At 38.9% G+C, this 11,975-nt stretch overlaps 1 protein-coding gene across 11 annotated transcripts in view, besides 2 other annotated features; it reads left to right on the forward strand.

Annotated features, from left to right (window-relative positions):
• Nucleotides 1-11,975, forward strand: part of CDC42SE2 (CDC42 small effector 2) — a 184,621-nt gene that overhangs the window by 167,650 nt on the left and 4,996 nt on the right. For all 11 annotated transcript variants that reach the window (XM_047417396.1, XM_047417393.1, XM_047417394.1 and 8 more), the window contains one exon: nucleotides 7,842-7,943. In XM_047417396.1, the coding sequence (XP_047273352.1) occupies nucleotides 7,842-7,943 (102 nt within the window). The remainder of the gene's footprint in view (nucleotides 1-7,841; nucleotides 7,944-11,975) is intronic.
• Nucleotides 2,083-2,312: an enhancer, noted in NCBI's record as "active region_23052". NCBI's record gives its function as "activates an Ori minimal core promoter by ATAC-STARR-seq in GM12878 lymphoblastoid cells {active_cell/tissue: GM12878}" and the evidence as "EXISTENCE:reporter gene assay evidence [ECO:0000049][PMID:35858748]".
• Nucleotides 2,363-2,412: an enhancer, noted in NCBI's record as "active region_23053". NCBI's record gives its function as "activates an Ori minimal core promoter by ATAC-STARR-seq in GM12878 lymphoblastoid cells {active_cell/tissue: GM12878}" and the evidence as "EXISTENCE:reporter gene assay evidence [ECO:0000049][PMID:35858748]".

Below are 11,975 nucleotides of genomic sequence, written 5' to 3' on the forward strand. Positions count from 1 at the left end.
TACCCAATATAAAAACTAAAACAGTGTTACCAGTTAAAACCTCTCTAGAGCACACAGCATTTCTATGAAAGAGAGAAAATTAAATCAGCAGATAAGTATTTTTTATGCAGAAATGTAGACTTCATTAGAATTGGCATTACATTGTTTACATCTTCCAAATATAATAGGTTCTTGAGAAATATTTGGCGATAATATTAGATAAGACAAACAATTTTTAGAGAACTGAGCTGACATTGTTTCTTTAAAAAAGCCTTTTATTCATTCAACAGTCATTTATTGTCTACTGTGTGTCAGGCACAGCTACTGTTACAGAACTCTTAGTAGTGTAGGAAAATCAAACTGTAAGCAAGTAAGTTACAATACAATGTTTTAAGTACTATAATTGAATATGAGCCATGTGCTGTGAATGTTCAGAACAGGAAATATCCAACAGCCTCAACTCGGAATGTTTATGTTTGAGCTGGGTCTCAAAGAATGAGTAGGGAGAGACTTGGGGCAAGGGTGTTTCATATAGTTTGTTGACATTACTACCATAAAAGGTATTTTCATTTTTTGTGTCAATGAATATCCACTAGGAAGATCATTTTCATCAAAAAATGTCAAATCCATTTTTTATATTATTACAACTTTTGTTAGCCTTTTTTTCCATACTGTGAACTAGATTGATTAACTTGGAAGCAGCTCACGCACCCAGGGAATCACTGTCACTGGCATCATAGAAAAAAAATACCCACTTGTTTTAGAAATGCCTGGTTCCTAATTACACTGTCAATATTTCAAAAAACTAATGTAGCTTATTTCAGAGGTTCCCAAACTTCTCTTAACGGTTCTGTAATTTTTTTCATGGTGCCTCTAGGCCAAGAGAAATACCGTACAGACTTGTTTATTAACTAATTTGGTACAAACAACTTAGTAAAGATTTATGTCCCAACAACTTATTTGCCTTTAAAAAATAAGATATAAATTGAAAAATATTTTTATTTAATTCTTAAATAACCAGTTACATACTTATGGTGTGTTTGTGCCTGTTGGGATTATACAACTTCTCAAACTGTGGAATCAGACTGAACACCACCACCTTCTTTTCTAGTTCCATACTGACTTTTGCATAGTGCTTGGGTTTTTTTCACAGTAACCACTGAAAACTCAGCTTCACAAAGATATGCTGTTAAAAAGAATGTATGTTCTAATGTTGAAGTTACAAATTATCTGAAGCTGGTAGTTCACTCAGTGTCAAACACACATTGAGCCTCACTGTGTTTCCCTCAAATAGAAAACCCTGGCACCCCTGGGTTTTGCTGGGATGCCCCAAGACACAATTTGGAAATAGTGGGCTTGTTAGATTTAATTCATAGATTTAGGGATTTAGTTACACAACTCAACTGACTTTCTCTAGGTCATAAAGTTGAGTCAGCATAGCTTTCAACCTTTCATTTACTTTGGCCACATTTGCATAAATGATTGCTATTTTATACCCTGAAAGTTCCAGCTTTTTTCACTGTCCCAGATGGCAAGTATTTTCATTTTCTTTATTCACTCTGTATCTGCTTCTAGAACTACCTCAGGCTGTACCATCTTTTACTCTTACTGTAGGCCTTCTGCTAACCTGATGGGACCTGGCCTTCATTTGCTTCTCAGTGACATGTGTTTGCACACTAAGCTGCCCAGAGAATAGTCTTTGGGAAAGTTTTAACTTTTAAGTGATGATGTAATTACTGTTTTCTAGAAGCTACAGTTGATCCATATGCCAGAAATGTGAGGGAGGTAGATATAGTATGGTTATATACATATTGTTTAGATAAGGATGCAAATAAGGTTCTCACAGTAGCAAATCCTTTGAAATTAACCTGCTTCTCGCCTCCTTGGATATACTCCAAATTGTTTAGTTCATTATCTTTAATAATTATGATGTAATTATGTAAAAAGTTATGGGAAGAGACATTTTGCCTAATGTCCCCTCCACACTAACATAGCAGTTCATTTGGGTCTCTAGTCCTTCACCTTATGCAGAATAAAAGTTAATATTTTAAGGATGCAAGGATTATTCAGATGGTTGACGGTCTTAACAAAGTTTCCTATAAAGAATTTGTTTCCAGGAAACACGGTGACTCTGCTAACGACAACTGTTAATACGTATCAGAGCAGAGTGCACCATTTCCTGTTTTTCTTTGCGGAGGTCTGACTCTGGAATTCCCCTTGTTTGCCCATGACTATTCTTTTTTTTTCTTTTGAAACAGAGTCTCACTCTGGCACCCAGGCTGGAGTGCAGTGGTGTGATCTCGGCTCACTGCAACCTCTCCCCGCCAACCCCCCACCCCAGGTTCAAGTGATTCTTCTGCCTCAGCCTCTCAAGTAGCTGGGATTACAGGTGCCTGCCACCATGCCCAGCTAATTTTTTTTTCTTAAAGAAAATATTTAATTTTCCATAGTTATTGGGGCTACAGGTGGTGTTTGGTTACATGAGTAAGTTCTTTAGTGGTGATTTGTGGATTTTGGTGTACTCATCACCCGAGCAGTGTACACTGCACCATATTTGTAGTCTTTTATAAAACCCTTGCCCCCCTCCCACTCTTCCAGAGCCCCAAGTCCATTTGATCATTCTTATGGCCTAATTTTTGTATTTTTAGTGGAGACAGGGTTTCGCCATGTTGGCCAGGCTGGTCTTGAACTCCTGACCTCAAGTGATCCACCTGCCTCAGCCTCCTGAAGTGCTGGGATTATAGGCATGAGTCACCATGCCCAGCCACCCGTGACTATTATACAGTACCCCAAACAAGTGTGCCATTCTTTAAATGTCCACATTGTGCCTTAAAATACTGCATTTTTATAGTTTAGAATATTTATTTATATTTAAATCCAGGTTTTTGATAGAGTGTTGTAGGAAAGAGTGTAAAGAACACTTCCACCTGTGTCTAGATCCACCTTTCCTGCCTTCTCAGGAACCTTGTAAGGTTGACAATCCATTTTCTTTTTCCTTCTTTTTCTGTACCTCTTTTACTGGATCTTTCCCATTAGAAATTGAGCATAATGAATTCTCTGCCATCTTACAGGGGAAAAATTCAATCTGTTCTCATCTCCTTTTCTCCTTTCAGCCACTGACCTGTCTTCTTCCTGTCCAGAAGGCCAGACTTTTCTCCAGAGTTGTCTCTGTTCTCTTTCTCCATTTTCCACTTCTTAGACCCACCTCAGTCCCCTGCAGCGTGTCTTCTCCTCCTATTACTCCACTGACATAGCACTCACTAAGGTGCCCATTGACTTGATATTGCTGAATCCATTGCACGTATTTGTCTTTAATTGACCTCTCACCACCTTTCAGCTCTGCTCCCTCTTGACACTTGTACACACTGCTGATTTTCCTACTGACTTTCAGGCTGTTTCTTTTTGGCCTTCTTTGATGGCTTCTTCTCTGCCCAACCACAGAAATTTAGTTTGTCTAGGAAATCTCATTAACTTGGCTTTGTTAATGCTGGTGATTCTCAGTCTCTTATCTCCAGTTTGGATTCTCTCAGAACCCAGTGAATTGCACACTCTCTGCTGAAATCTGAAGTCTGTGCATATTTCTTAACTCCTCCCTCTCACTGTTACCAAATCCAGCCTGCAACCAAGTGCTGTTTTTTTTTGTTTTTTTTTTTGTTTTTTTGAGAGAAGTCTCGCTCTTGTCCCCCAGGCCTGAGTGCAATGGCTCGATCTCGGCTCACTGCAACCTCCGCCTCCTGGGTTCAAACGATTCTCCTGTCTCTGCCTCCCAAGTAGCTGGGATTAAGGCACCTGCTACCACGCCTGGCTAATTTTTGTATTTTTGGTAGAGACGGGGTTTCACTGTGTTGGCCAGGCTGGTCTCGAACTCTTGACCTCAGGTGATCCACCCGCCTCGGCCTCCCAAAGTGCTGGGATTACAGGCGTGAGCCACCACATCCGGCCCAAATGCTGTTGATTTTATCCACTGACTACTTCTTGAATCTATCCACTTCTATCTGTGTTATTAGTTGAATCCACATAATCCCTTTTCACCAACATTAATAACTTATTTTGACCTCTTCTAACATGTTTTCCACCTATAGCTATTGTGGAATAGTCTTCTCAAGCTATTTAATCATGTTATTCCTCTGCTTTAAAACACTTTCAATTATTTCCCATTGTTCTTGGGAGGATCACACACTTCAGTCCTTTACAAACTCTATGTGATCTGGTTCTTGCTTATCTTACTATTTTCATCTTAGGTGTTTACCTTTACTATGCTCGCACAACACAGTTGCTCCTTTCAGTTTCTGGACAGCTGAGTTCCCTCAGCCTTGGGGAGCGAAGGACTGAAAGCTTCTTTCATATCTCACAAACTGTTAGATTAGATGCCATGAAGAAACCTTCCAATACTAAGGTGTGACTCCCAGCTCAGTATAGTTCAAGCTGAAAAATACTCACTATTATTTTCACATTCATATATATTAGTTATCTAATAACACAGTATGATAGAAGTAAGCTGAAGTCTTCCCATCCTTTGCTTTTCAGTGTCAGAGTAGCTTCTTGGGAACTAGTTTTGTTATCAGCTTTTGAATATTCTCAGTAATCATGTTTGCTGAATTATTGTTTGTGAGTATGTGTTAATACCCTTCTTTCACAAGCATATCTATTCATTCTTTTTGGGTGAGATGGGTGGTGGCCTGAGCACACTATGGTTTCTGTTCTCCCCCAACACAGTCCTGCAGTAACTCAACAGAATAAATCACTTAATATGGAGGTATAGACCAAGTGGAGCCTTTTGGCAAGCTCTAAACACACCCTTCTGGAGGAAATGATGCAGAATGAGAACTGTTAGGAGTTGCTTCTGCAGGTTCACAGGACAAGGGTTGATCAAGACTCCTCCTAGTGGTCTGGAAGTAGGTACCAGGAAGTATTCTCTGGTACCACCTCCTCCCCTGCTTGAGAGAGCCAAGTGGCTCTCTCTGCATATCAGAAGCAGTTATCTTGACATGTTTACTGCAAACGCCTGGGGAAGAGTCTGGTGTCCTGCAGATGCCACTGTCCTGTGGAACTGTGACAAGAACCTAGAAGCTTCCCTCTCTACCTGTCAGTTAAGTGGCTCACTGGGGAAGAAATCCCAATAATTTGTCCTGCCCACATGCTGAGAAAATTCGTATCCTGTGATGGTAAAGATTACATTTCTGGACCTGCCCAAATAGCTTCCTAATAAGGAAATTTAGTGGAAATGTAATAATATATTATTAAGAAGAGAAAAAGGCACAAAACTGTTAACATCTTTTTTCCCTACTTTATTCCTAAAAAAGATAAGTTAGCATTGTTTAAGGCTAATTCATAGAATTATGCTTTATCATTCCAAACAAAAATAGTATGAAGAGAAGTATGTTGAATGGGGTGGTTGGAAATAGACAAACTGAGTCTGTGAAAAAGATGGGGAACAGAGGAAAAGACCAGTGCATTGCTGGCATGCAGCACTCCAGATCAAAGGATGGTTGTGGGTGTCAAGTCTGCCATTAGGGGCAGGGAGTCTTTGTATGAGGCACCTCTAAGATCATCAGAGGGAGCAGTATGCGAGAAAAAGATAGCAGGAAACCAGTGCATTGTGCTAGGAAATAGAAAAATTAAAACACATAGACAAAAGCCTCTTTTGACTTTATGATACCATTTTAACCTGCAAGTTTTATGATTCTGTGGAACAGGGCCCCAAAAGACAGACAGTTTCTTACCAACTTTCAAAAAAAGGCTTGAAGTAAAACTAAAGTTGTTCAAATAAAGAAATGAGAGTTCTTTGTTCCCTAGTGTTATAGACTTATAATTTATATAGTTAAGTGTTTTTAGGGAAAAGAGTGAAAAACTATAATAATACAACTTTTTCAGAGATTAAAAAATGTTGCAATGACATGTCATAACAGCCTCTGAAAAATAACCATAATGGAAAAAATGAAATTATGTGGCTACTACTGAAAAAATCTAGAGCTGGGGTCAGCAGACTACTACTTTTACAGGCTAAATCTAGCCTGTCACCTGTTTTTGTAAATAAATTTTTACCATAACACAGCTATACTCATTTAATTTCATGTGCTCTGCAGCTGCTTTCATGCTACAATAGCAGAGTTGAGTCAAAGCTACAGTGGAGATTGTATTTGGCCTGCAAGGTTATAATATTTACTATCTAGCTTGGACCTCTGAAGAGGATAAAGCAGAGTTACTTTTCAATGCAGTGAAATTATAAAGAGAAATAAAGGATGAAAATATAAGAAACTTGGAAGATTATAGACACACACATGTTCAAATGTCCACATAGGCAGGAACTCCAGAAATAGCAAAATGAACACATGGAGCAATTATCAAGGAACTAACAGAATAAAACTTTTCTAAGATACAGAAAACCTGTGTTCAGATAACCGTGTGCCACGCAGAATTACTGGAAGGAAAACCCAACAAACTTGGAGATGGTCTAATGTCATTGCTGAATTCTAAGGATGAATAACATAAATATTTCAAAGGAAAAGCGTCAGGGTTTTTTGTGGTTGTTGTTTCTATCTATGACAATATAAACGAGAGGACAGTAAAACAATGTATATGGACTTCTAAAATATATGCATGGGCTCGCCACTTTTGTGGTTTTGTAGAAAGTCATGTTTTCACCCTGAGGAGCTGTCATATGGGACTCTCGTGATAAAATTTTAGGGTTTATCAGGATCATGCCAGCGTTTCAGTAGATAAGGACATAAAAGTGTTATGTTCAAAGGCAGCTAATCCAGCAAGTTTGTAACTCTGCTTGGTTTTGAGGGAAGCTGCAATTTCAGGAGAAGTATACTATTGACAGTAAACTGGGATAAGCAGAGCCCCATAGTAGGACACTAACCCAACGTGGCCAGTGGTCTCTCCCAATAACATTATCATATCTAAGGGATCATGGAAAACAGGACAGATCTAAGATAATCTTCATATCTGGAAAACTCTTAGATAATCAGTGAAACACAGCAGTACAGTCAGGAAATATCTCTAAGGGGTAGATGAGCATATTGGTCAGAACAGGGACACCAGCTGGTGGCTAAAGTTACTGGAAAATGGGGCTCAGCACCCCATGAGAAGTGCTTTTCAAAAATTAGGAAGAGTCAGCCAGGCGTAGTGGTGCGTGCCTGTAATCCCAGCTACTTGGGAGCTGAGGTGCGAGGATTGCTTGAGCCCAGTTAAAAGACCAGCCTGGGTAACATAGCAAGACTCCATCTCAAAAAAAAAAAAAAAAAAAAAATTAAGAAGAGTGAGTAAGACCCAGCCTAGTTAGTCAACAGGTTTAGTTCCCAGCTAGAACAGACCAGAGAAGAGTGAATGGACTAGGACCAAATCTGTCACCCTCTCACCCTCCCACCTCCACCCCCTCCAGCTGAAATGACAGATTCATTTTAGCATAGAAAGGTAATTGGGTATAATCTGAATAATAACCATCAAAATATAATACATCTGTTAATGATGAAAGCCAGAAAGTAATGTTTAAAATCAGACAGTGTATTCAAACCACTGTGTTCTTTGCCAACAATAATAGTGACTGAGGGTAATTTTACATTTGTCTCGTTTTTTAAAAAGAATAAAACTTAAGCAGTTATTAAATATGTGGATGACCAAAGCTAGACCAAATAATCTATTAAGCTCTAAATAATAACCTGTTATTTTGCTTTACTAATCATTTTTGTGCATATATTTGTCTTGGGGATTTCATCATAAGAAGTAATTGTGGCAGTCTAAGAGCTAGGCATTTTTGTGTTCTTGGCAAATTTATTAAACAGTCATAGTATAAAAATCCATCAGAATAAGTTGCTCATAAGATCACTTTCTCAACACATTTGTTCCCCATATTTTAGAAAAGGCGACGGCGGATTGACAGAAGTATGATTGGAGAGCCCACAAACTTTGTGCATACAGCTCATGTTGGATCAGGAGACCTGTTCAGTGGAATGAATTCAGTAAGTATGTTGGTGGGACATGCAGGTAGGGCATTGGGGCATAGTCATATGAAACCTGTGTGACAGGCACAAGCATTTTTAATAGCATTATGCTAAATGAATTTGTGTACAGTGAATGTAAATACATAATATGAGCATAGAAGAGAGAAGCAAACTACTGATGAAAAATTAATCTCTTTGAATTTCCTGGATTAGGTATTTGTTTCTGTTTCTTGTACGCAACTCTTCATAGCTGCCTTTGTCCCGAATAAATACTTTGAAACTTGAAAGGATTTGAGTTCAGAATGGAGGTTAATATCCTATTGATTCTCTTGCTCCCACCAAAGAGACTTGGATATCAGCCTTTTTAATAATAATCTCTTTTTGTTCTTTTAAGTTCAGTTAGTTGCCTTTTGCACACATTTTTATTGCTTTACTTTATAAACCAGTGGTCTCCAACCTTTTTGGCACCAGGGACCAGTTTCGTGGAAGACAGTTTTTCCATGGGGGAAATGGTTTTGGGATGAAACTGTTCTACCACAGTTCATCAGGCATTAGATTCTCATAAGGAGTCCACAACCAAATCCTTGCATGTGCAGTTCGCAATAGGGTTTGTGCTCCTATGAGAATCCCATGCCATCACTGATGTGACAGGAGGCAGAGCTCAGGCGGTGATGCTCACTTGCAGCTGCTCACCTCCTGTTGTGCAGCCCGGTTCCTAACAGGCCACTTCTGGTTTTGGGACCCCTGTTATAAACTATTCATCTTTACCTGGTAATATTAGAATGTTGGTGATTTATTTACTCTAAGTTCTCATGCACTAAGCATAGGATTAGAATTTTCACATATCCCTTTAGGGCAAGGCAGTAAAAATTTGTCACATTTGCCAGTAGGATGTGAAGAACCAGAAATAAGATTTATTCGCTGTCTTTTAATAGAGGTTTCAGTGAGTTTCAGAATAGGCTTTAGATCTACTCAGCTGACCTTTTAGTCCTTAATTTTTGTTGAAGAGAAAACCAGAATGCATTATAATAGAAGCAGCACCAAATGCGGGTTCTTATCAGAGTTGTTCCTCACATTTGCCTTAAAGCAGGCCACTGAGTTTCAACAGACTGACTCTTTTCCCCATGCCTAAAGTAAACAAGTATAAATGATCCCTAAAGTGTTCAAAACCAGAAAGGATTTTATAAACATAAAATTATGATCCACTGTATACCAACTTACTAGACAGCATTAACAAAAGACTTAACAGGGACTTTAAAAATAGGTAGATGGGTATCCTGGATACAGCAACGACGTTTGTCACTGCAGTTACTAGGTAAGCAAAGGAATGACATTTGAACCTTGCCGGAAAGGAAACAGCTTGTTTGTTTTAAATCCGTAGGAAAAGTACTTTGTTTCACTTGACTGCTTTGTGGAAATGCAAGAGGTATCATGTTGCTGTCAAAACAGTCAGTAGTTTTGTTTCCTGCATCAACATAGAGTGAAAAGACTAAATGAGGCCCTATTACTTTTATTAATATGGTTACTATAATAAAGAGAATGGGTAGTTTCAAATTTGTTATATATGATGAATTTTAATTTCTCTCTCATCAACAGATGTTGTCTCTGCCACCTCAGATTTTTAAAAAATCCAACTATAAGGCCAGGCACGGTGGCTCACGCCTGTAATCCCAGTACTTTGGGAGGCTGAGGCAGGTGGATCATCTGAGCTCAGGATTTCAAGACCAGCCTGAGCAATGTAGTGAAACCCTGTCTCTACCAAAAATACAAAAAAATTAGCTGAGTGAAGTAATGTGCACCTGTGGTTCCAGCTGTTTGGGAGGCTGAGCGGGGAGGACTGCTTGAACCTGGGAGGGGGGAGGTTGCAGTGAGCTGAGATCATGCCTCTGAACTCCAGCCTGGGTGACAGAGTGAAACCCCATCTTAAAAAAATAAATCCAACCGTATAGGAGGAATTAAATTTTAGTTCGTGGCATTTAAAATCTTATGTACATTTCGGAATTTCCTTTAAGATTCCTCCTTGAATGAAAAACCTGTCATTGGCTTACTATTTTTTTGCTTCTCATAGTTTAGGTAGAACTTTAGGACTGTACTTTGCAGGGCTTGCACACCTGCCTCTTAATCTTAGATGCAGGATTGAGATGGGACTTTAGCTGTGGTAGAGTTTCTACCTTGCTGTCTCCAGGCAGCCTTCTCTGCTACTGAAGTGGACTTTTTATGAAGTATTTCAGCCCTTTAGAGCTAAATGTGCTTCCCAAATGTGTTCTATAGTTATTTCGTATTTGAGTTTGCTATCTCTAAAGCAATATTCAGCATCCATCCCACTGTCACAGAGCACTGTGTTCTTGCTGCTAGGAATGGTGTTGTTCAATTAGTAACTTTTTTTTTTGAGACAGAGTCTCGCTCTGTCACCCAGGCTGGAGTGCAGTGGTGCAATCTCAGCTCACTGCAACGTCTGCCTCCTAGGTTCAAGCAATCCTGTCTCAGCCTCCTGAGTAACTGGGATTACAGGCTCCTGCCACCATGCCTGGCTAATTTTTTGTATTTTTAGTAGAGCGGGGTTTCACCATGTTGGCGAGGCTGGTCTCAAACTCCGGACCTCCGGTGATCCACCCACCTCGGCCTCCCAAAGTGTTGGGATTACAGCCATGAGCCACCACGCCTGGCTGAGTAACTTTTCTTGAAAGTATCATTGATAGTACTGATTTGATGAGCCTGACTCTGTGAGAAAAATTATGTTCTCCTATGCAATGCAATAATAAATAAGAAGAAACCATAAATAGACATGCTGTTTATTCAAATAAAAGAACTGAGCAGCTAGTATTAGGAATGTGGCTTGACGCATATGAAACAGGCTTGCCTAAACTATATTATTGAATGGTTAGATGACTTGTAATTTCTTTTTTCTTCTAAATATATTATTCTTCTACCTTTACTTAGTGTAAAAGACTCTTTTCTACTACCCTCTTTCCAGAAAAGATTTCCGTTACCCGTTCAGTAATACAACCTTGCGTTAAAATATTGTATATTCACAGTCACAATAATACATTGTCTCAACACTGAAAGATTACTTATTAAAGTTACTTAATAAAGGTTACTTAAGATAAACCAAATCTTTTAAATTGAAGAATTGACTTTTGGAGAAAAATACTTTTTTTTTCTTAGAATCTGCTTGGCATTATTGAATGCACAATGTAAAAACAAACAAAGATTTTGTGTTTGGTTGGTTTTGGGCTTTTTTGATGCAGAGTCTCATTCTGTTGCCCAGGCTGGAGTGCTTACTGCAGCCTTGACCGCCTAGGCTCAATCGATCATCCTGCCTCAGCCTCCCCCAGTAGCTGGGACTACAGGCCTGCACCACCATGCCCAGCTAGTTTTTGTATTTTTTTTGTAGAGATGGGGTTTCGCTATGTTTTCCAGGCTGGTCTCAAACTCCTGGGCTCAAGTTATCTGCCTACTTCGAACTCCCATAGTGTTGGGATTACAGCTGTGAGCCACTGTACCTGGTCATAAAGATGTTTTTTAAGCCAGGCCTAAAATATCTATAAAAGCTAACATGCCATGTTAAGTGGAAAATTACTTGGTATCAGGTTTGTGCCACATAACTTAATGTTAGTTACCATAAAGGGGAAGATGACGAATTTGAACTGGTATCATATGACAGGCCCTAGCCTCTTCACACTGCATTAACTGAGCAAGTTTATGTTTAAAAAACAAACAAACAAAAATATAGATTTCTTCTTACACTCTTACCTGAAGGTAGTCATTTTATTAATCTGACTATTATAGCAATACCTTATAATGTGATGTCATACGAATAAGATGTTCCATGTAAGTAAATTTCCAGGTTAGTAAAAATGTCCCCATTTAAGAGCAAAACACATTTTCTCATTAAGACTCTCTTGATCTAAATAAGCTATGCATTTTCTGTTTTGCCATTATGTTCTTTTACAGTATATATTGAAACCTGACTTACTCAAAAAATGAGTTAGACAAGTCTTACTTTAAATATATTGACTCAGAATCACCAGTGGAAAGCACCTCACCCTT

This window comes from Homo sapiens, chromosome 5 (genome assembly GCF_000001405.40).
Source record: "Homo sapiens chromosome 5, GRCh38.p14 Primary Assembly".
NCBI classification, from domain to species: Eukaryota; Metazoa; Chordata; class Mammalia; order Primates; family Hominidae; genus Homo; species Homo sapiens.